Raw genomic sequence first — 25,174 nt, 5'->3', positions numbered from 1 at the left:
CCAGTGACGTAAAACACTGATGCTGGGAAAGACCTAGTTTCTGATAATGGAGCTGCCAGATGTTCAAGTTAAGAGATGTCAAGGGCGTTGTTTTTTGATATGTGGCAGAAGACAACCTGCATCTTAGAACAAAGCCCATATACAAACCTGCAGAAACAAGAAATGGAGACAGAGCATGTCAGCAAACAGCCATATTGGTTCTAGTGATTCTTGCACTCCTCCTAGCAGGGGAAACCTGGCCACTTCTCTGAATTGGATACAACCCCTCAATTGAGTGAAAACCTCTGGTATTCCTCAGATGATTTTTTTTTAATTCCCTATGTGAAATTTGGAGTTCTGTTACTTGGTATCAAAAAACTTGGCAGGGCGCAGTGGCTCACGCCTGTAATCCCAGCACTTTGGGAGGCCGAGGCGGGTGGATCACGAGGTCAGGAGATCGAGACCATCCTGCCTAACACGGTGAAACCCCGTCTCTACTAAACACACAAAAAAATTAGCCGGGCGTGGTGGCGGGCTCCTGTAGTCCCAGCTACTCGGGAGGCTGTGGCAGGAGAATGGCGTAAACCCGGGAGGCGGAGCTCACAGTGAGCCGAGATCACGCCACTGCACTCCAGCCAGGGTGACAGAGCGAGACTCCGTCTCAAAATAAAAAACAAACAAAAAAAACTAAACCAAAACAACAACAAAACAAAACAAAATCATGCATCTCTTTAAATGCTGTAACAATGTACTTCATTGTCTTAATTTTCTTTTCTTTTTTTGAGGAAAATTGAGACCTTCTATTTTCTGAGAAACAATCTATAGATTGGGGAGGTGCAGCCTTTGGTCCAAGTGAAAGTACACTCTCTATTTTCTTTTCTTTTTTATTTTTGAGACAGAGTCTTGCTCTGTCACCCAGGCTTGAGTGCAGTGGTGTGATCTGGACTCACTGTCGCCTCCACCTCCCAGGTTCAAGTGATTCTCCTGCCTCAGCCTCCCGAGTAGCTGGGATTACAGGTGCCTGCCACCACGCCCAGCTAATTTTTGTATTTTTAGTAGAGACGGGGTTTCATCATCTTGGCCAGGCTGGTCTTGAACTCCTGACCTCATGATCCACCCGCCTCAGCCTCCCAAAGTGCTGGGATTACAGGTGTGAGCCACCATGCCTGGCCGTAAGTATTTTTTTTTTTTTTTTTTTGAGATGGAGTCTTGCTCTGTCGCCAGGCTGGAGTGCAGTGGTGCGATCTCAACTCACTGCAAGCTCCCCCTCCCGGGTTCACGCCATTCTCCTGCCTCAGCCTCCTGAGTAGCTGGGACTACAGGTGCCCGCTACCACGCCCAGCTAATTTTTGTATTTTTAGTAGAGATGGGGTTTCACCGTGTTAGCCAGGATGGTCTCGATCTCCTGTCCTCGAGATCCGCCCGCCTTGGCCTCCCAAAGTGTTGGGATTACAGGCGTGAGCCACAGCGCCTGGCCAAGTATTTTTTTAATTTATCATTTGTCTTTAAAAAATTTGTGACATTTTTTAATAGCAAGATTTTTTTTTCTTTTTTGAGACAGAGTCGTGGTATGTTGCCCAGGCTGGACTTGAACTTCTGGGCTCAAGAGATCCTCCCACCTCAGGCTCTCAAGTAGTTAGGACTACAGGCTCCTAGATCCTGCCACCACGAGCAGACATTCGTTTTTATTTTATTTTATATATATTTTTAGACAGGCTTTCACTCTGTCACCTAGGCTGGAGTGCAGTGGTGTGATCACAATTCATTGCAGCCTCCATCTTCTAGGTTGAAGATGATCTTCCCACCTCAGCCTCCGAAGTAGCTGAACCGGGACTACAGGTGCAGGCCGCCCTGCTCTACCTTTTTTTTTTTTTTTTGAGACAAGGTCTCTCTCTGTCACCCAGGCCAATTATGCAGTGGTGCAATCATGGCTCATGCAGCCTCAACATCCAGGGCTCAAGCGATCCTCCAACATCAGCTTCCCAAATAGCTGGGACTACAGGCACACACCACCACATCTGGCTAATTTTTGTTTGGTTTTTGTTTTTCTTTTGAGACAGGGTATCACTCAGTTGCCCAGGCTGGAGTTTATTTTTTCTGTAAAGTAGTGATTATACCTATGACCTTATACAGAGTTGTCATGAAGATTGGACTTCTTGGCATCTAGTTCAAAAGATCAAGTTTCAAATCCCAAGTCTTTACCAATTAATATGTATTGTATGTTTAGCGTCTGAGCCTAGAAACTAATTCAGCACCAAGGTATTTCCCCAAATTGCCGTAAGAGGTCAGTAGGCAAGATAAGTATCATCTGTTTTACAGTCAAGGGTGGAAGTAAGAAGTTACCTGACTTGCCTGAAGCCACAGAGACATAAGTGAAGCAAAGACTGGACCAAAGTATATGTGTAGTGAATGAACTGAATGTCTGAATTCATGTCAATAAAATATATAACAATTTTTATTATCAATGATTATATACTTCAAAATCAAGGTATTGTTTGACAACACAAAGATGACATGCAAAAGTACTTTTTGGTGGTCAGTGCCATTAATAGACTTAATAGACTACAATCAGAAAGTTTTTTCTTTTTTTTTTGAGATAGAGTTTTGCTCTGTCACCCAGGCTGGAGTGCAATTGTGCAATCTTGGCTCAGTGCAACCTCTGCCTCTGGGGTTCAAGCGATTCTCCTGCCTCAGCCACCGGAGTAGCTGGGATTATAGGCATGCAACACCACACCTGGCTAATTTTTGTACTTTTAGTAGAGACAGGGTTTCACCAGGTTGCCCAGGCTGGTCTCAAACTCCTGAGATCAAGCAATCTGCCCCCCTTGGCCTCCCAAAGTGCTGGGATTACAGGCGTGAGCCACCACGCCTGGCCTGTGTCTTTGATTATAACCATTTAGTGGGTGTGAAATGATATCTCATTGTGGTTTTGATCTGCATTTCTCTAATGGCTAATGATGTTGAGCATCATGTGCGTATTGACCATTTGTGTATCTTCTTTCATGTGCTTCTTTCATAGGGAAGAATTTCTTGCTTGAGCTGATGGTAATTAATTCCAGTAGAACAAGTTGTCCTACTATCTAGAGCATCTCTAGGGCTGGCAGCCACTGTGAGGCAGTGTAGGGCAGTTGAAAGAGCATGGAGGATCTACCATCCCTTCATCAAACATTTTTCAGCATCTATCCCTCAAGACAGAGACTAGTCCTAGTCTAGTATGCTTCTTCCCCATCCCTACCACTTACAGCCTAGGCTATTACAACATAGTGCGATAAGTACAGTAAGACAGTAGCACACACTCTGTCTCTCATAGAGTTCACACACAGTCCTTACCATGTGCCTTCACATATGTTAACTCATTTAATCTTAGAATAATTTGTTTAACTTCACAAGACAGTGAGGTAGGTACCTCATTACAAATGAAGAAACTGAGGCTCAGAAAGTTCAAATGATTTGCCCAAGGAACATAACTACTAAGTGGTTGAGTGGAGATTTGAACCCAGGTAGTTCATGGCCATAATCTATGGTCTGTAGTCCACCCATGTATATGATAGAAGAAAGGTAAGTAGCTATGAAAGCACAGAGAAGGTTTAACTATATGTTTTTGTGTCTGTGTGTGGGGGAGGTTAGGATGGAATCCTGGGATGGCAGGGATAAGACCCAAGGATGACGAAAATTCACTGGGGAGGAGCTCAGGGGTGTGTCTGCAGACCCCCAGGTCCAGGCTTGTCTTTTGATAAATATTATTATGTGCCTACCACATACCTTTTTGGGTATACAGAGTTCTAGATGCTCTAGCACAGTAGTGTTTAAACTACATATACTTCTGAATCATGTAGAGAGCTTGTTTTACAGTTTCCGATTCAGTAGCTCTGGGATAGGGCCTAGGAATTTGCTTTTCTGACAAGTTCCCAGCTGATGCTACTGGTCTGAGGACCACACTTTGACAACCATTGCTCTAAAACAGGGGTACTGAAATGGGATATCAATTTACAAAAATAAATAAATAGTAAATAAATAAATAAAACAGGGGTCCCTAACCCCTGAGCCATGGACCTGTTGTGGTCTGTGGCCTGTTAGGAACCGGGCTGCACAGCCGGAGGTGAGCAGCAGGTGAGCAAGCAAAGCTTCATCTGTATTTACAGTGTCTCCGCATTGCTCACATCACTGCTTGAGCTCGGCCTCCTGTCAGATCAGCAGGGGCATTAGATTCTCATAGGCACATGAACCCTATTGTGTACTGCACATGGGAGGGATCTAGGTTATGTGCTCCTTATGAGAATCTAATGCGTGATGATCTGTCACTGTCTCCCATCACCCCTAGATGGGACCACCTGGTTGCAGGAAAACAAGCTCAGGGCTCCCACTGATTCTACGTTATGGTGAGTTGTATAATTATTTCATTATATATTACGGTGTAATAATAATGGAAATAAAGTGCACAATAAATTTAATGTATCTGAATAATCCCAAAACCATCCCCCCACCCCGGTCACGGAAAAAGTGAATTCCTTTCATGAAACTGGTCCTTGGGGCCAAAAAGGTTGGGGACCACTGCTCTAAAAGAATCACAGACTCGGCCAGGCACGGTGGCTCATGCCTGTAATCCCAGCACTTTGGGAGGCCAAGGCGGGCAGATCACCTGAGGGAGTTGGAGACCAGCCTGACCAACATGGAGAAACCCCGTCTCTACTAAAAATACAAAAAATTAGCCGGGTGTGGTGGCGCATGCCTGTAATCCCAGCTACTCGGGAGGCTGAGGCAGGAGAATCGCTTGAACCTGGGAGGTGGAGGTTGCGGTGAGTCGAGATCGCGCCATTGCACTACAGCCTGGGCAACGAGAGCTAAACTCCGTCTCAAAAACTACCTAACTAAATAAAAGAATCATGAACTCAATAATAGGGGTCAACTTCATTTTGTATATTCATTCATTTATTCATTCTTTTTTTTTTTTTTTGAGACAGCGTCTCACTTTGTTGCCCAGGCTGGTGTGCAGTGATGCAGTCTCACATCACTGCAGCCTCTGCTTCCTGGGTTCAAGCAATTCTTGTGCCTCAGCCCCCTGAGTAGCTGGGATTACAGGTCTGCAACACCACACCTGGCTAATTTTTGTATGTTTAGTAGAGATGGGGTTTCGCCACCTTGGCCAGGCTGGAATTCATTTATTCATCCAACAGGTATTTACTGAGTACCAACTCTTGCAGGTGCCAAGGATGTAACAGTGAATAAAACAGAAATCTCTGCCCTCATGGAGCTTACATACTAGTGAGAGGACAGGCGTACTCTTAAGTTATATGGTAAAGTAGAAGTTGGTGAGGACTATGGAGAAAAAGCAGTAGGAGTGAGGGTTGGGAGGGTGGGGCGACAGGCCCAGAAAGGTGAGAGGACAGTGGCCACCCAGCTAATATAACTGACCTTCAGATTCTGGACTGGGGAGCTCTCATGCCTCACACAAAGCAGCCAGCATGCAGTGAGTGCCTTGTGAGTATTATGCACAGATACCTCTACCCGTTCCAGGGAGGGAAGGATTTCTTCTTGCTGAAGCCATATGAAAGGCTTTGAGGAGGAGCTGATGCTTGAGTTGGGCCTTGAGCATGGATGGGATTTCATTCCTTGAAGTGGGGAGTGTGTTTAAGAGAGTGGATGGGGTGGACCAGAGTCTGGGCCTGAGTAGTGCATGCTCAAGGAACAGTGAGAGGCTCCAATATTTGGGTCAGGAGGCAGAGGACCTGGCACTGGAAGGGTGTGGGAGAACCAGTCCTTGGGAGGCCTGGGTGGCTGAGCTAGGTGTTGTGGACTTTGGTATTTTTTTTTTTTCATCCCATGGATTCAAGTTGCCCTGAATATATGCTTCTGTTCAGAATCTTGTGAAGGGAAGGTTTTTGTTCAGAGGAGTAAGGGGATTGAGGTGCTCAGTGGACGGACTGATAGTGTAAGCAGAAATTCTAGAGATCAGCCTCATTGGGGCTTCATTTTACACAGGCATTCATCCAGCTTCTAACATTCCAGGTACTGGGATACAGCAGAGGATAAAGCTGACAAAAGTCCCTGCCCTCAAGTCAGGGTTGGGGTGAACACAAGCCCGTCCTGCAGACTTAAGCAGAAAAGAGTGGGAATTTGTTGGAAGGATCTCCAATTCCTTGTGAGGGTCCAGAATCATGGTCTGAGGTGACTTTCTGCCTCTCCCCAAGGGGTTGCAAACGGGGCTTCATTCTCTCCCACTAGAAAAAGAGTGCTCCAATAAGCTCCCCATGCTGCACACATGACCTCTGGGATCCAGCACCAACGCCGACAAACTGGACTTTCTCACTTCTAGGTTTCCAGGAAATAATCTGATGGGTCCTGCTTGGGGCAGGTGTCCACCCTATTGGGTGTTAAGTCACATGGTCCTAAGTGGGGGCCCAGGCTCACCCTTTCAGCAGGACTGGTCCTCAGGGAAGAGCCAGTGGGCTGGGCAGCAGCCAGGATGGAGTCAGGGGGGCCTGACAGGGGCAGTGGTGTCAGAGCGACTGGCCAGGTCAGGACATGCTAACTTAGGAGTTGTTTAGAGTGTGACTCCACATCGCAGCTCTTTTTATGGAGAAGGGGAGTGCTGAAACGGAGGCTGCTACCGTGCATTAGCCCTGTGCGTTTCTGCTAACTAGGGGAAGATCCTAGCTGCTTCTCACTGCGGTCTCCTGAGGCCATTGGCAGCTGGCCAAGCACCCCTGGTGAAGACTTCTTAGCGGGGCCTTGAATTTTCATTTGTGGGTCATTGCCAGCAATTACACATTTATATTAACAATTTAATTTGGCTGTATGGTATTTTACTGGGCTAAGCCCTGTGAAAAATGGGAATCATCTATAGGGATCTGACATTTTAACTTGTGCAGTTGCTTAAAAACAAAAATCCATAACAGCAATGGATTTTGCTTTGCTTTGCAAAGTTTTTCATTTAATGATATTTTAATGGGTCAAAGCCCATCCAAGCCAACAGCTCATGTTTCAGGGTCTGATTCTCTGAGGAGCTATGAATGGAGGCGTTCTCTCTCATTTCTTCTCTGTTCCCTTTTGCTCCCTCTCTCCTCCCTCACCTCCTCTAACCTTCCTCCTCTGCAGCGTTCTCACACTTTCCCATCTGGGTAGTTTGCCGGTTCATTAACTGCTTTTCTTTTCTCCCTGGCATGTCTCATTAGCTACTGGTAGAGATGGCTGTTTGAGGGAAATAGTCTTAGGCAAAGGGTCCAGAAAGCCCAGAGTCCCCTTTGGGAGTGAATGTGTGCAGAGGGAGGTGGGAGGCAGAAAAGCCAAACTCTGCCTCCCTGCTTTCAAGTCTGCAGTAAGATCAGTCTCAGTGGTGAAACTCAGCCAGCAGAGGGGGTGAGTCTCAGCTGGGAGCTAGGCGGCCAGTGGGGAGGTGAGTTTCAGTCCCATTCGTGAAGGGTGGTGGCAGGACCACAGTCCAAACGTCAAGCAGGTCCCCTGTGAGTCAGCCATCTGAGTTGGCCCAAGCGAGACAGGACCAACTTTGAGGGCCCCAAAGGGTAGTTCCCGTGCCCAGTGGACTTGTTCTTCCTTACTTTGCCTCCCTTCTGTTATGGGTTCTCAAAATATGGCAGTCTTTTTTTTTTATTTCTTTCTTTTTGAGACAGGGTCTCACTCTGTTTCCCAGGCTGGAGTGCAGTGGTGCTCACTGCAACCTCTGCCTCCTGGGTTCAAGCAATTCTCATGCCTCAGCCACCCGAGTAGCTAGGATCACAGGTGTGTGCTACCACACCTGGCTAATTTTTGTATTTTTGGTGGAGACAAGGTTTTGCCATGTTGCCCAGGCTGGTCTTGAACTCCTGAGCTCAAGTGATCCACCCACCTGGGCCTCCCAAACTGCTGGGATTACCGCTTGAGCCACCATGCCCAGCCTGTCATTTGTCCTTTTAAAAGCTCGTTCTTATTGCAGATTTAAACCTACATTTAGAAGCCCCATTCTGCCTTAAGAATATAGCCATGGGGGCCAGGCACGGTGGCTCATGCCTGTGATCCCGGCACTTTGGGAGGCCGAGGCAGGTGGATCATGAGGTCAGGAGTTCAAGTCAGCCTGACCAACATGGTGAAACCCCATCTCTACTAAAATTACAAAAATTAGCTGGGCGTGGTGACATGCACCTGTAATCCCAGCTACTCAGGAGGCTGAGACAGGAGAATTGCTTGAACCGGGGAGATGGAGGTTGCAGTGAACCGAGATTGCACCACTGCACTCCAGCCTGGGCGACAGAGCGAGACTCCATCTAAAAAAAAAAAAAAATATATATATATATATATTTATATATATGTATATATATATACATATATATATTTATATATATATGTATATATATATACATATATATATTTATATATATGTATATATATATACATATATATATTTATATATATATGTATATATATGTGTATATATATACATATATATATAGCCCTGGGGGGCTGGGCGAGGTGGCTCATGCTTCTAATCCCAGCACTTTGGGAGGCCAAGGCAGGTGGATCACCTGAGGTCAGGAGTTCAAGACCAGCCTGGACAACATGGTGAAACCGAATCTTTACTAAAAATACAAAAATTAGCTGGGCGTGGTAGTGTGTGCCTGTAATCCCAGCTTCTAGGGAGGCTGAGGCAGGAGAATTGCTTGAACATGAGAGGCAGAGGTTGCAGTGAGCCAAGATCGTGCCACTGCACTCCAGCCTTGGTGACAGTGAGACGCCATCTCAAAAAAAAAAAAAAAAGAATATAGCCATGAGGATAGTTATTTATCTCAAGTAATGTGTTGCCAATATAATGTGAGCTTTTGTGTAGGCAGTTTAGTGTGTTGACTATGATGTCTCTTGTCTTAGTGGTCCTTGGGTTAATAATTTTAAAGAGCATCATCAGAGGGTGCTACAGACAACTTTCCCATCACTCCCCTGGGGCAGTGATGGAAGGGGACAAAAACAAGCTGGTGGAGAGGAAAGGAGGGTGTTGGATGTGCTAGGTGGTTTCCATTTGCCTTTCTAGGTCCACCCTTCACCTGTTCCATTTGCTTTTTGCTCTGGGAGGCTGACATGTATGGACTACATGTGCATAGTATGGGTTACATTAATGACCCTTTGTCTTCTGGCTTTGGTTGGGTTCAGCCATTGGGACATTGTGATAAGCCATTCCTGCATCACTGGAGAGAAATACCCAAGGCTGGGTAATTTATAAGAAAAGAGGTTTAATTGGCTCACAGTTCTGCAGGCTGTACAGGAAGCATTGCATGCTGTCGTCAGCTTCTGGTGAGGACCTCAGGAGATTTATAGTCATGGTGGAAGGGAAAAGGGGAGCAGACATCTCACATGGCAAGAGCAGGAGCAAGAGAGAGAGGGTGGGAGGTGCCACACACTTTTAAACAAGCAGATCTCTGAACTCATTCATCACCGAGGGGATGGCGCTAAGCCCTCCCACCAGGCCCCACCTCCAACACTGGGGATTACATTTCAACATGAGATTTGGCATGGACACAGATCCAAACCCTATCAGGCATCAGATGTTCAAAGCGAGGGAAGAGAGTGAGGTGAAGGTATGTATTCCTCTGGCTTCCTGTCTGTAGGGTCACCATGGATTGTGGCCCTAAACTAAAGGGCCCAGTTCTGTCAGGTAGCCCCTAGCTGCCCTCTCTGTCTCTGTCATTCAAGCTCAGGTGTGATAGCAGCATTCCCCACCCAGCCACAGAGGTACTATCCCTTGTGTTTTGCTGTGTTCTGTACACACCTTTGCACACACCCACTCTGTTATTACTTTAAAAAAACCATCAAATTTACCATTGTAACCACTTTGAACTGTATAATAGTGTTAGCTATATTCACACTGTTGTGCAATATATCTCTAGAATTTTTCCATCCTGCAAAATTGAAACTTTATGCCCACTGAACAACTTCTCTTCATTTTTCCCTCTTCCTTGTCCGCTGATAACAACATTCCACTTTCTGTTTCTATGAGTTTAACTACTTTAGATACCTCATATAATTCGTGGAATCATGCAGTATTTGTCTTTCTGTGACTGGCTTATTTCACTTTACGTAATGTCCTCAAGGTTCATCCATATTGTAGCATGTGATAGGATTTCCTTCCTTTTTAAGGCGGAATAATATTTCATTGTGTGTGTATACCACATATTTTTTATCCATTTATTTGTCTATGGACATTTAGATTGCTTCTAGCTTTTGGCTATTGTAAATCGTGCTGAGTTGAACATGTGTGTGCAAATATCTGAGTTGTTGTGGTTTTGTTTTTGTTTTAGTTTAGACAGAGTGGTTTTTTTGTTTTGTTTTGTTTTTTGGGATAGAGTGTCGCTCTTAGTGCCTGGGCTGGAGTACAGTAGTGCGATCTCAGCTCATCGCAACCTCCGCCTCCCAGGTTCAAGTGATTCTCCTGCCTCAGCCTCCTGAGTAGCTGGGATTACAGGCACCCAGCACTATGCCCAGCTGATTTTTGTATTTTTAGTAGAGACAGGGTTTCTCCGTGTTGGTCAGGCTGGTTTCTAACTCCCGACCTCAGGTGATCCGCCCGCCTCAGCCTCCCAAAGTGTTGGGATTACAGGCGTGAGCCACCGCGCCCGGCTTAGACAGAGTCTTTTGTTCTGTTGCCCAGGGTCGAGTGCAGTGGCATGATCACAGCTTACTGCAGCCTTGACCTCCTGAGCTCAAGTGATCCTCTCACTTCAACCTCCCGAGTACCTGGGACTACAGTACCTGTGCACCACCACACATGGCTAATTTTTGTGTTTTTGTAAAGATGGTGTTTCACCAGGTTGCCTAGGCTGGTCTTGAACTCTTGGACTCAAGCTTCAACCTTGGATTACAGGCATGAGCCACTGCGTTCGGCCTGATTCTGTTTTCAGTTCTTTTGGGTATACACCAAGAGATAGGATTGCTAGATCATACAGTACTTCTATTTTTAATTTTTTGAGGAGCCTACAGACCATTTTCTAGAGCAAGTACATTTTGCATTCCCATCAAAGTGCACAAAGATTCCAATTTCTCCATATCCTCTCCATCACTTTTTATTTTCCAGTTTTTTGATAGTGGCCATTCTAACAAGTGTGTGTGAGGTAATATTGCATTGCGGTTTTCTTTTTCCTTCTTTTTTTTTTTTTGAGACAGAGTTTCACTTTTGTCACCCAGGCAGGAGTGCAATGGCGTGATCTTAGCTCACTGCAACCTCTGCCTCCTAGGTTCAAGCAATTCTCCTGCCTCAGTCCCCCGAGTAACTGGGACTACAGGCATATGCCACCATGCCTGGCTAATTTTTGTATTTTTAGTAGAGACGGGGTTTTGCCTCAGCCCCCCGAGTAGCTGGGATTACAGGCATATGCCACCATGCCTGGCTAATTTTTGTATTTTTAGTAGAGACGGGGTTTTGCCATGTTGGCCAGGCTGGTCTTGAACTCCTGACCTCAGGTGATCCACCCACCTCAGCCTCCCAAAGTGCTGGGATTGCAGGCGTGAGCCACCATGCCTGGCCTGCATTGTGGTTTTTGATTTGCATTTCTCTGCTGTTTAGTGATGTGTAGCATCTTTTCATATGCTTGTTGGCCATTTGTATATCTTCTTTGGAGAAATATTCATTCAATCCCTTTGCTCATTTTAAAATTGGATTATTTTGTGGTCGTTGAGTTTTAGGAGTTCTTTATATATTCTAGATATTAATCCCTTATCATATATGAGGTTTGCAAACATTTTCTCCCATTTTTTAGGTTGCCTTTTTACTCTGTTGATTGTTTTCTTTGCTGTTCAGAGTTTTAAAGTTTGACAAAGTCCCCTTTGTCTGTTTTTGTTTTTGTTACCTGTGCTTTTGGTGTCATATCCAATCCAATGTCATGATGCTTTTCCCTTGTGTTTTTTTCCTAGTTTTATAGTTTTGGATCTTATATTTATGCATTTAATCCATTTTGAATTGATTGTTTCCTATGGTATAAAGTAAGAATCTCCAACTTTATTCTTTTGCATGTGGAGATCCAATTTTCCCTGCACCGTTTATTGAAGAGACCATCCTTACCCACTGTGTAGCCTTAGCCCTTGTCAAAGATCATTTGACCATATAGGCAAAAGTTTATTTCTGGGCTATTTTGATCTATTGGTCTATGTGTCTGTATTTGGGTCAGTACCATGCTGCCTTGATTATGATAGCTTCATAATATGTTTCAAAATCAGGAAGTGTGAGGCCTCCAGCTTTGTTCTTCTTTCTCAGGATTGTTTTGGCTCTTTAGAGTCCTTCAAGATTCCAAGGCCAGGCACCATGGCTCACACCTGTAATCCCAGCACTTTGGGAGGCCGAGGCAGTCTGATCACCTGAGGTCAGGAGTTCAAGACCAGCCTGGCAAACATGGTGAAGCCCTGTCTCTACTAAAAATACAAAAATTAGCCAGGCATGGTGGCGGGCCCCTGTAATCCCAGCTACTCAGGAGGCTGAGGCAGAATTGCTTGAACCCGGGAAGCAGAAGTTGCAGTGAGCCGAGATTGCACCACTGCACTCTAGCCTGGGTGACAGAGTGAGACTCTATCTCAAAAAAAAAAAAAAATCCGTATGAATTTTAGTTTAGTTTTTTTTTTTTCTATTTCTGCAAAAAATGCCATCAGGATTTTGGTAGGAATCGCATTGAATCAATAGATTGCTTTGGTTAGTGTGGACATCTTAGCCATATTAAGTCTTCCCATCCATGAACGAGAAATGTCTTTCCATTTATTTGTGTCCTCTTTAATTTCTTTCTTTCTTTCTTTTTTTAGAGACAGAGTCTTGCTCTGTCGCCCAGACTGGAGTGAAGTGGTGCAATTTCGGCTCACCACAATCTCCACCTCCCAAGTTCAAGCGATTCTCCTGTCTCAGCCTCCCGAGTAGCTGGGATTACAGGCATATGCCACCATGCCTGTCTAATTTTTGTATTTTTAGTAGAGACAGGTTTCACCATGTTGGCCAGGCTGGTCTCAAACTCCTGACTTCAGGTGATCCGCCCGCCTTGGCCTCCCAAAGTGCAGGGATTACATGCATGAGCCACTGCACCTGGCCCTCTTTAATTTCTTACAGCAATGTTTTTCTAGTTTCCATTGTAGTCTTTTGCCTCCTTGGTTAGGTTTAATCCTAAGTATTTCATTCTTCTTGATGCTATTGTAAATAGAATTATTTTGTTCATTTCCTTTTTTAAGATTGTTCATTATTAGTGTATAGAAATGCAACTGATTTTGGGGTGTTGATTTTGTATCCTGCAACTTTGCCAAATTTGTTTATTAGTTGTTTTTTTCCCCCACAGAACCATCAAGTCCAATGTTTATTAGTTTTAACAGCTTTTTTTATGGACTCTTACAGGGTTTTCTATATATAAAGTTATTTCGTCAGTTAAAAGAGATATTTTTACTTCTTCCTTTCCAATTTCTGTGCCATGTATTTCTTTTTCTTGCTTAATTGCTCTAGCTAGGAGTTCCAGGACCATGCTGAATAGAAGTGTTGAAACCAAGCATCTTTTCCTTGTTCCCAATCACAGGGGAACACCTTTCAGTTTTTCACCATTGATTATGATCTCAGCTGTGCACAACCCCATTATTAAACTTTCCTGGAACAGCTTCGTTTGGGTGTGTCATCTGTTTCCTGCAGGCCCCTGAATGAGATGCCTGTAAAAGGTGTAAATAAGCCAGATCCCAGGACAGGTTGTATAAATGCTTACTCCAGAGTGTGCAGAAGTAATTTTCATGACCAGTTCTGGGCTTGATGCTGCCCATGAGTTTGTGCCAGTTGTGCTGATCAGAATAAATTTGTTCAGAACAACTTTATTTTTCCAGATGGTCAGAATTTTAAGCAGTAGATAAGACTGGTCTTGCATTGTTAGCCTCTTCTATAAATGTATACATTATTAATGTATAAATGTATACATTTTCTTTCAGAAAGGTTTTTTGGTTTTTAGCACTTTGGTGCTTAATTGTTCACAGTGCTTAGGCAACATCAAATGAAGAAGTTAATACTGTGAGGCAACAACTGTTTCTTTCTTCCTTTCTTCCTTTCTTTCTTTCCTTTCTTTCTTTCCAGGATCTCACTCTGTCACCCAGAATGGAGTGCCGGGGTATGATCTTGGCTCACTGCAGCCTCTGCCTCCCAGGTTCAAGCGATTCTCCCACCTCAGTCTCCCAAGTAGCTGGGACCACATGCACATACCACCATGCTCAGCTAATTTTTTGTATTTTTAGTAGAGATGGGATTTCACAATGTTGCCCAAGCTGGGCAACAACTGTTTCTATACACCTCTAGGGAGGCCCTGACCCTGGAGTGTGAGATTGAGATGGTCCTAGATTCTTGCTTTTTTCCCTCCTCATGTTTAATTTCATGAGCTTGGGAAATTTTGTAACCTCCAAAGAGCCTGAGTATCATAGCACCCACCTTAAAGTATTGTATGAGGATTAAATGGTGTAGTATATATTGAAGAGCTTAGTTTGCTACTGTGCCCAACAAATAATAGATACTCTGTAAATGGCAGTTAGTATTAAAAAGTTTTGTTAAATTTAGGAAGTATATTCGGGTTCTGTGAATGAAAAAAATATTTTTAAAGTAGTTTCTTGCCGGTGCATTGTTGCTGCTTGCGTGTGTTCTGTGCTTGGGAGTCTTTGAAGTCTTGCTTTCTGGCCCATTATTATAATAAATCTGCCAGTTTGATGATGGCTTAGTGGCAGGGCGAGTCCCCAGCCAAGTGTAATTCAAGAGCAGGCATTCCAGGGGGTGGGGATTGGGGCCCCGGAGGTAGAGGGTGGAGGTGTAAAGCTGACTTGGGCACACAACTGGCCATGTGCTTTTGTCCTCTGGCTTGTTGGCCTGTACTTGAAATCTTGCTTTCTGTTCACTGACCTTGAAGAAAGGAAACTTATTAAAATAGGCTGTAAAACTAGGAGGAGAAAGAGAAGAGGGCCAGGTCTCAGGAAGCTGCCCTGAGGGGAGTGGTGAGGTGGACTCTGTTGCTCACCCAAACTGTTCATTAGGGAAAAAGAGGAAAAAGTGAAAGTGAAAAATGAAGGGTGACACATTCTCAAGAAGTAAATCCCAGCAGCTCTTAACATTTTATTACATAATTAATTACATGATCATTTTGAAAAGTAGGATAATTAAAGAGAAAACAAATTCAGTCACCTGAAGTCCTCTACCTGTAGATGATAGATAATATTTCATGTATTGCCTTGTGGATTTTTTCATATGCATCTATATATGTAAGTTGAAAATGGAGTGATTTTATACGTGTTAACCTGTTCCCCCCCACCCTTTTTGAGACAAAGTTTCACTCTGTCACCCAGGCTGGATGACAGTGCAGTGGCACCATCTCAGCTCACTGCAACCTTCACCTCCCAGGTTCAAGCAATGCTTGTACCTCAGGCTCCCAAGTAGCTGGCACTACAGGTGCACACCACCACGCCTGGCTAATTTTGTATTTTTAGTAGAGATGGGGTTTCACCATGTTGGCCAGGCTGGTCTTGAACTCCTGATCTCAAGTGATCCACCGTCCTTGGCCTCCCAAAGTGCTGAGATTACAGGCATGAGCCACCACGCCTGGCATTGTAACCTGCCCTTTACTCTTATTGTATATATCCCTCCGAGTCAGTGAGTAAAAATCTGTTATTATAAAATGCCATAGAGCATTTTATTTTATGTCTTCTGAAACCCTGTGGGTCTCTATCAGTATATAAGGTACTTGTAGGCAAAGTCCATGCCTTGTACTTTATATCCCCCAAAGCACCTGGCACAGTCCCCTAATAGGCAAACCCCTGTTGATTGCTAAATTTGACACTGAAGAAGATAAAGGTGTGAGTCACAGCCATGATTTCCTTATTTATCTTTTGATCTAAGGCTGTTGCCTATCAGCCTTTAAAACACGTATATTAGTGATCCTAAGACTACATCATACTTTCTATTACCTGTGATAATTATAGCAATATTGGCATAACACTTAGGGTTTCAGAGCATTTTTCACGTTGTTACACAGATCCTGGGGAGGCTGTTATTATTTCTTGCATTTTGCAGTGGAGGAAACTGAGGTTAAGAGAGTTTAAGTATGTTTTATGCTGTTACCATGCTGCCTCTGTGTTTAACTTAGCTGGATGACTTTTAAAAAAAATCAAGTGTGTGTGTGTGTGTGTGTGTGTGTGTGTGTGTGTTAACTTTGGCCATTAGTACCTATGATGTTGCTTTTAGGTACCAATCATATAGAAAATGAAATGAAGTTTTTTTTTTTTTTTTGACACAGAGTCTTGCTCTGTCACCTAGGCTGGAGTGCAGTGGCGTTATCTCGGCTCACTGCAATCTCCACCTCCCAGGTTCAAGCAATTCTCCTGCCTCAGCCTCCCGAGTTGCTGGGACTACAGGCATGTGCCACCACGCCTGGCTAATTTTTTGTATTTTTAGTAGAGATGGGGTTTCACCGTGTTGGCCAGGCTGGTTTCAAACTGCTGACCTCAGGTGATCCACTCTCCTCGACCTCCCAAAGTGTTGGGATTACAGGCGTGAGCCACTGCACCTGGCTGTAAAGTCTTTTTTATTTTATTTTATTTTATTTTTTGAGACTCTGTCGCCCAGGCTGGAGTGCAGTGGTGCAATCATAGCTCACTGCAGCCTCAAACTCTTGGGCTCAAGCGATCCTCCTACCTCAGCTTCCAAAGTAGCTGGGACTATAGGCATGCACCACCACACCTGGCTAATTATATGTATTTATTTATTTAGTAGAGAGGGGGGGGCCTCACTTTGTTGCCCCGGCTGGTCTCGAACTCCTAACTTCAAGTTAACTCCTCTTGCCTTGGCCTTCCAAAGCCCTGGCATGACCACAGCCAACTCTTTCTTTTTTGTGTGTGTGAAAGAATAGGTAACTATTTTGCAAAATCAGTTTAACACATTTTTGTTTTTCTGGAGAGAGTTATGCTGATTCTTATTGAACTAGATTTGCTGGCAATATTCAAGGTAGTCTAAAATTTCCAACCCTACAAGTACTGTCCAGTGGAGATGTTCCTGTATCAGTAACTCCTAGGCAGGGTTTTTGCTTTGCTGTGGCCCCATTACATCTGTGGGCACATTTTTACAGGTTGGTTTTTACTGAGGAAGGGACTATTTATACTTTTCTTTCTCTTTCCCTACCCTTTGGGCCTTCAGCTATGACAGAGACTCCACTTTCAACGTGTTTGTGGGAAAAGGACAGCTGATCACAGGGATGGACCAGGCTCTTGTTGGGATGTGCGTAAACGAGAGACATTTCGTGAAGATTCCCCCAAAGCTTGCCTACGGAAGTGAAGGAGTTTGTAAGCTTTTCTTCCTCGTTTATAAACACATCAGCAGAAACAATGAGAACACTTTTAGGATGTTAAGTCAAACAGACTGGAGAATCTTGGAAGCTTTAGATTGGGGGAAAATGAAAAGCAGTGAACTCATACACAGCTAAAATTTCCATCTTAGGTTTATTTCTTCTAGATGTGAAAGAAAGTGTCATTAACACAGATGTATTGAATGATACCCTCAATGAGAAGAAAACTGTTTTTTCTCTTTTCTTTCAATTTCATTTGGAGGAAAGAGGGAGGAAGAATGGGTCATTTTGGGATTGTATAGCAGTGACTGCTTGAACCCTTTTGGCCCACATTCACCTTGGGAGCATCCTAGGTGTTTATTTATCTGGCCTGAAAGGCAGCAACTGTGAACTCAGTGTGAAATCTTTAATTTCTAGCTGGTGTGATCCCCCCCAATTCAGTGCTTCATTTTGATGTACTTCTGATGGATATTTGGAATTCTGAAGACCGGGTTCAGATTCACACCTATTTCAAGCCCCTGAGTTGCCCTCAGACCATCCAGGTGTCTGATTTTGTGAGGTACCACTACAACGGGACGTTCCTGGACGGAACTCTGTTTGATTCGAGGTAAGTCCTGTCATTCATGGCAGTATCAGTGAAATGTTCCATGCATAGTTCTTTCCTTCTGTCTTACTTGCTTTTTATGCTGATGGGGATACTAGAATAAGGACTCTTCTCAACTGTAATCAGTACTGAACTCATCTGCTTAAGACTTTTGGTCAGTGTTGCATCTTCTCTGGTGCCAGAGTCGAAATTTTAATACATCTTAGAAACATTGAAGAGCAGTGTTTATCTAACTTAACAGTATTTTGAGATCTCATCATTAAGTGAAAGGTTCTATTTCTTTTTTTTTTTTTTTTTTTTTGAGATGGATTCTCGCCCTGTCACCCAGGCTGGAGTACAGTGGCACGATCTTGGCTCACTGCAACCTCTGCCTCCTGGGTTCAAGCGATTCTCCTGCCTCAGCCTCCCAAGTAGCTGGGACTACAGGTGCATGCCACCACGCTAAGCTAATTTTTTGTATTTTTAGTAGAGACGGCGTTTCAGCGTATTAGCCAGGGTGTTCTCGATCTCCTGACCTCATGATCTGCCTGCCTTGGCCTCCCAAAGTGCTGGGATTACAGGCGTGAGCCACTGCACCTGGCCGTGTAAGTCTCTATTTCTAAGGAGGCTTATGCACGTTTTGGTTCATTTTTGTAGTTTTCCCATGGAAGCAAGAGGGAAAAGATGAATGTATGTGAAGCTATGGAGAGGCATGGGGCTACACGGGAGATCAGGGAACCCTTCGCAATTTCTTCTCATTAGAGTGTGTTTGATTAGTGGAATAGCTGACCTGTTTTTGTCTATCACTAGTATAAATGCATGCTTTTTATTTCTTTCTAAACTTGAGGACATCTGCCCTGTGTTTGGGGGCAAAGATCCATAAATGTCTATCTCTAGGATGGGTATGGGATCATCGTTTAGCTGATATTTGGGTAAGAAAAACCGTACAGAGAGATGAGTTGGAAATATCCTCATGGTGTGGAACTTTTTCCTTTTCTCATTACCTTTCAGTCACAATCGCATGAAAACATAGGACACGTATGTGGGAATTGGCTGGCTGATTCCTGGAATGGATAAAGGGCTGCTGGGGATGTGTGTGGGTGAGAAGCGCATCATCACCATTCCTCCTTTTCTGGCCTATGGAGAGGATGGAGATGGTAAGTCCTTCTCCTTCTTGGAGCCACTCTCTCCTACCCTTATTTTTATTGCAGTGGTTAATTCAATTGTCACCACATGAAACTCACTAGACCTTTTGGTCTAGACCTACGCTGGCCAATATGGTAACCACTAGCTACATGTGGCTATTTATATTGAAATGGAAACAAGTTAAAATTAGCTAAAATTTAAAATTCAGTTCCTTGGTCACACTGCTACATTTTAGGTACCCAATAGCCTCACGTTGCTGAGGACCACCATAGTGGACAGTGCAGATACAGACCCAGATCATTTCCATCACTCAGAAAGTTCTATTTGACAGTGCTAGTCTGGATTGTCTGCTGTGTGATGATTGAGTTGCAGAAATTTCCACTTACTTATAGTCATTGGCATTCATAAGTAACCCCCTCTGCCCCTGTTGTACCTGCCATGGCCTTGGCCACCAACCTCTCTGGCTTTAACATTTGTGAAATGAGACTTGAATTAGACACTATAAAAGTTGCAGATATGCAGGTAGAAATTTAGCCATACAGTGTCAGAATTGCCAGATTTCCCCGTTTGCACCTCTACAATGAGTTTTACCTATGGCATTAACTCCATATGGACAAAAGCAAAGTGTAATGTTAGAAAACACATTAATTACAACTAGTGTCCTGTTTGTAGTTTTACTGTGAAGGAAAACACATAATATGGACTGATAAATGGAATGTCTCAGGTACTCATGTTTGAATTTCAGGTGCGTTTAGTCATATTGACATGCTGGCACAACATAGAGACCTGTAGGCATTTAAACAGCAGATGGATACAGTGATGTGTTGATTCATAATGGGGATATGTTCTGCGAAAGGCATCATTAGGCAATTGCATTGTTGTGCAAATGCCATAGAGTGCACTTACACAATCCTAGGTGCTACAGCCTGCTGCACACTTAGGCTGTGTGGTGTAACCTGTTTCCTCTAGGCTACAAACCTGCACAGCATCTGTACTGAATCCTGTGAGCTACTGTAACACAATGGTAAGAATTTGTGTATCTAAACATAGAAAAGTTACAGTAAAGACATGATATGATAATCTCATGGGACCACTCTCATATATGTGGTCTGTTGTTGACCAAAACTTCATTGTGCAGCACATGACTTTGTAGTTAAGGATATAAATGAGAACATGATGCTTCTTAAGAAGTTTACTGATAGTGATAGCCAACTTACAATAGCCAATATGTTTTCACGTTTTTTCCTGGCTCTGTGGAGCGGAGCAGGAGGAGAAGGGAGCCTGAGGTGATGGGGCTCGGCCTTCTCTCCTTTCTACCTCCATATATATATACTCATATATATATATATACATATATACATATATATATACATATATACATATATATACACATATATATATACATATATATACACATATATATACATATATACATATATATACACATATATATACTCATATATATATACTCATATATATATACACTCATATATATATACTCATATATATATACTCATATGTATATGTACTCATATATATATATACGCTCATATATATATATATACACTCATATATATATATACTCATATATATATACACTTTTTTTTTTTGAGACAGAGTCTCACTCTGTTGCCCAGGCTGGAGTGCAGTGGTGCGATCTCGGCTCACTGCAGCCTCTACCTCCTGGGTTCAAGAGATTCTTCTGCCTCAGCCTCCTGGGTAGCTTGGACTACAGGCGTATGCCACCATGCCTGGCAAATTTTTGTATTTTTAGTATAGACAGCATTTCGCCATGTTGGCCAGACTTGTCTCAAACTGCTGAGGTCAAGCCATCCATCCACCTCGGCCTCCCAAAGTGCTGGGATTACAGGTGTGAACCACTGTGCCTGGCCCACTTTTATATATTTTACATGCTGGGGATCTGCAGATGGTTTCTTAAACAGAGTATTAGGGGTGGAATTCCCTACTAAAAGAAAAATAAAGTTTAAAGCAGTGCCATAAATATGTCTTAATTCTCCCCCCCAATGAGATATAAGATATTGTTGTTATTATTTTTAGAGACAGGGTCTCACTCTGTCACCCAGACTGGAGTGACACCATCATAGCTCACTGTAACCTCAAACTCCTGGGTGATCCTCCTGCCTCAGCCTCCCGAATAGTTAGGACTACAGGCATGTGCCACCATGCTTGGCTAGTTAAAAAAGTTTTTTTAGAGACAGTGTCTCGCTACGTTACCCAGGCTTACCTTGAAATCCTGGACTCAAGCGATCCTCCCACCTCAGCCTCCCAAAGCGCTGGGATTACGGGTGGGAGCCACTGTGCCTGGCAGTTACTGTTTTCTTATTGATGTTCAAATGGTCTTGTCCTTGGCCCCAAAAAGTTCATTCACATTGGCTCCCAGATCCTTTTGTCATCAGCCACATAACAAAACCAGATGTGAGCCTAATATGAGAAATATTATTTATTTACTTTAAATAAATAATAGCTTATTTAGAGTAGTTATTTTTTAATACTTTATACTTGAATACTATGCTTGGCTATCCAAGTGTAACTGTATGGTATGTGAATTATATCTCTGCAAAGTTGCTATAGAAAACATTATTCATTTAGTACACATTAATGCTAGAAAAATTGAAACCCCAGGCCGGGCGCAGTGGCTCCCGCCTGTAATCCCAGCACTTTGGGAGGCTGATTTGGGTGGATCGCCTGAGGTCGGGAGTTCAAGACCAGCCTGGCCAGCATGGGGAAACCCCGTCTCTACTAAAAATACAAAATTTAGCCAGGCGTGGTGGCAGGTGCCTGTAATCCCAGCTACTCGGGAAGCTGAGGCAGGAGAATCGCTTGAACCCGGGAGGCGAAGGTTGCAGTGAGCCAAGATTGTGCTATTACACTCCAGCCTGGGCAACAGAGCGAGACTCCATCTCAAAAAAAAAAAAAGAAAAGAAAAATTTAAACCCCATGGTTACTTTTAAGACTTTCATTTTTCTCTTAAATGAAAAGATACAGTAAGGCACAAAAGATTAATATTCTATCTCCCACGCATGCGATTTAGGGATTGACCACACCTCGCTTTCCAGGGGCTGACTCAGCAGCCGGCTTTCAGCAGATTTCATCATTCCTTGGAGGGGAAGGAGATGCAGGGTGGGCTTTGCCAAAGGCCACTGGAAGGAGCTCAGGCTTGGCGGCATCTGGTTTGCTTGTCTGGGCCTGCTCCTTTGCATGGTATAACAAACGGCAAGTAAAACTGAGGGATTGGTTTGTTGGTTAACTTTCTACTATCCCAAATTACTGGATTTTGAGTTATTTATTGGTTGATGTTGATCTTTGCAGGAAGAACTAGTGTCCTGTAATCTCTTCATGTGGATTTCATTTTGCAGATATTCAAAATACTCCCACTGGCAGGAACATCCAAGAGAAGCAGTACTACCCAGAAGTGAGATAGAAGTGATTTGAGGACTATTTATTTATATTTTGGATTGTGGGTGCCATTTTTTTCTCTGTTATTCTGCTTTCATCTTATTTATATCTTGCTTTGGATATACTTAAAGCATTGAGTTTTACTTTTTGCCTCTAAAAAATTGGCCGTTCGTTTCAAAGAACAAGTCTGTGTACAGTTCTCCAGAACCAGACCAGAGATTTGGAATTTTCTCCTTTAAATGTCTGTGGTTTGCATTTATTCACAAACAGAAACCCACAGAGGTACGTATTTGGGTTTGCCTGTGGGTGCCTGCCCTCCTACATAGAGCCTTGATCTTCCAGCATGAGTCCAGAAAATATGGTCATGGTAGTCTCTTATGTCATTAATACCAATTTTCTCCTTTTGCTGAGTCAGGTTTTAGATTATACCATCAGCCCATGGTTGGACACCATGGGGGCCCATTCAAGACCTGGAAGAACATTTGTTTCCTTGGCTTCAAAACCTCAAGAAATGAATAACACCAACCCCAAGCCTGTTGAGTTGTAAAGTACTTCCTAAATCCTGTGTCCCGTTTAATCATCTTCTCCCATTCCATTCTAGGGAAAGACATTCCCGGTCAGGCATCTCTGGTGTTTGATGTTGCATTATTGGACCTCCATAACCCCAAGGACAGCATTTCCATTGAGAACAAGGCAGTACCTGAAAACTGTGAGCGGTTAAGTCAAAGTGGGGACTTTCTCAGGTATCATTACAATGGCACGCTTCTGGATGGCACCCTCTTTGATTCCAGGTAAGGAAATGATTAAAGTCTTCAACTGCCAGAACATTGTATTAAATAAAGTCTGCCATTGGCTGGACCATGATTTAAATACTCTGTCCATGCTGATTTATAGTTGGCATTTTCATCTCTAATACAGGTTTCTGTTTTCTGATACTTAGTTCTTTCCTCCCTTCCTTCCTTCCTTCCTTCCTCCCTTCCTTCCTTCCTTCCTTCCTTCCTTCCTTCCTTCCTTCCTTTCTTTCTTTTTTTTTGAGACAGGGTCTCGTTCTGTTATCCAGTCTGGAGTGCAGTGCAGCTGCATGATCGTGGCTTTCTGCAGCCTTGAACTCCTGGGCTCAAGCAATTCTCTCATCTCAGCCTCCTTAGTAGCTAGGACGATAGGCGTGTGCCACCATGCTTGGCTAATGTTTTATTTTTTATAGAGATGGGCTTAAGTTTCTTCATAGGCTCTTGTAACCATTTCTTTCTTGGGGGCTGTTTTAGATGGTTCTGCAGGAAGACAGGAGAGACTCACCCTCGACTCCCACCATCCCCCTATACTGTGCTTAGCTATCCAGTTATAAACCTCATTATGGGGCCCAAGATGAGGAGTGGCCAGAAGTGATGTCAAGGAGGTACAGTGGGCAGAGAATGGGCTTAATGCCAAGAGAGCTGGGCTCTAGCCCCTGTCTGTGGTGCACTAGCTGTATGACTTTGGATAGTGTTTGACTGCCTTGGACTTCATTTTTCCCTATTCCAGCAACTTTGTCAAGTAGATGGTTAGATTAAAGAGATAAGATATGTGTCACAGTGCTTTACAAATTTCAGAGGCTGATCAGCTGGACGGCACTGGTTGGATGCATTCAGCTCCCTTCTCGATGCTGGGTGCCATAGAGGCTAATTACTGGCCTCTTTTGTTGTTCAAAGTTTTCTTTTGTTTATCAGGCATGGCCTGCAGTTGTAGAGATGGCTTGTGTTTGGCCTGTTTTGCTCATTCTAGTGGCATGTGTTGTTTGAAACTACTCCTTTAGCTTCCAGTAGAGCAAACAAGTAGTGACAGCAACCTCCCTGTCTCTGAGGTGATAGACTTCTAGTTAATGTAGTCATCCAAAACCATTACAGAAGAATTTGTATATGGCATTATTTCATTTGAATAATTCATTCTTGTTCCTTGGATCTCTTTTAAATTTGTCATTTAAATTTTTTGGAAAAGAGAAATAGTTACATAGCTCAAAACCAAAACAAAGTATGCATTAAGATATGTTGTAAATTAGCCAGGCATGGTGGCGGGTGCCTGTAATCCCAGCTACTCAGGAGGCTGAGTCAGGGGAATGACTTGAACCCAGGAGGCGGAGGTTGCAGTGAGCTGAGATCACACCACTGCACTCCAGCCTGGGCAACAGTGCGAGACTCTGTCTCAAAAAAAAAAAAAAGAAAAGATATGTTGTATACCTGTTCCTGTCTGCCTAACCTCCCTGTCTCCCCTACCCCTTAGAGTTAACCATCTTTATTGGTTTCTATTTTTAATTTTTCCAGTGTCTGGATTTTTTTTTTTTTTGAGGCAGAGTCTCACTCTGTCACCCAGGCTGCAGTGCAGTGGCACAATCTTGGCTCACTGCAACCTCCACCTCACAGGTTCAAGTGATTCCCCTGCCTCAGCCTCCCAAGTAGCTGGGGTTACAGGCACACACCACCACGCCTGGCTAATTTTTGTATTTTTAGTAGAAATGGGGTTTCACCATATTGGCCAGGCTGGTCTTGAACTCCTGACCTCAGGTGATCCACCCAATGCAGCCTCCCAAAGTGCTGGGATTATAGTCGTGAGCCACTGTGCCCAGCCTAATGTGTGGACTTTTTAAAATGCAAATATAAGCAAACACAAATGTTATTTTCTTCTCTTTAAATTATATGGCTTTCAGAATATAGTATTACTAGGGAACAAGGTGGTGTTCTCCTTGATTTTTGTTTCTCTGGGATTTTTCCATACTAAT

The 25,174-nt window shown here is 43.6% G+C and overlaps 1 pseudogene, besides 2 other annotated features; it reads left to right on the top strand.

The window, feature by feature from the left end:
- LOC100420539 (FKBP prolyl isomerase 10 pseudogene) lies at positions 17,151–19,075 on the top strand (annotated as a pseudogene).
- Positions 21,929–23,128: an enhancer, noted in NCBI's record as "MED14-independent group 3 enhancer chr7:55774944-55776143 (GRCh37/hg19 assembly coordinates)". NCBI's record gives its function as "activates an origin of replication core promoter dependent on BRD2, BRD4, P300/CBP and CDK7 cofactors, and independent of MED14, by STARR-seq in HCT116 cells {active_cell/tissue: HCT116}" and the evidence as "EXISTENCE:reporter gene assay evidence [ECO:0000049][PMID:35650434]".
- Positions 23,867–24,374: an enhancer, noted in NCBI's record as "NANOG hESC enhancer chr7:55773698-55774205 (GRCh37/hg19 assembly coordinates)". NCBI's record gives its function as "activates a minimal SCP1, AML or CMV promoter by ChIP-STARR-seq in primed H9 embryonic stem cells {active_cell/tissue: H9 hESC(primed)}" and the evidence as "EXISTENCE:reporter gene assay evidence [ECO:0000049][PMID:30033119]".

This window comes from Homo sapiens, chromosome 7 (genome assembly GCF_000001405.40).
Source record: "Homo sapiens chromosome 7, GRCh38.p14 Primary Assembly".
In the NCBI taxonomy this organism is placed as follows: Eukaryota; Metazoa; Chordata; class Mammalia; order Primates; family Hominidae; genus Homo; species Homo sapiens.
This window is presented reverse-complemented; position numbering and strand designations above follow the sequence as displayed.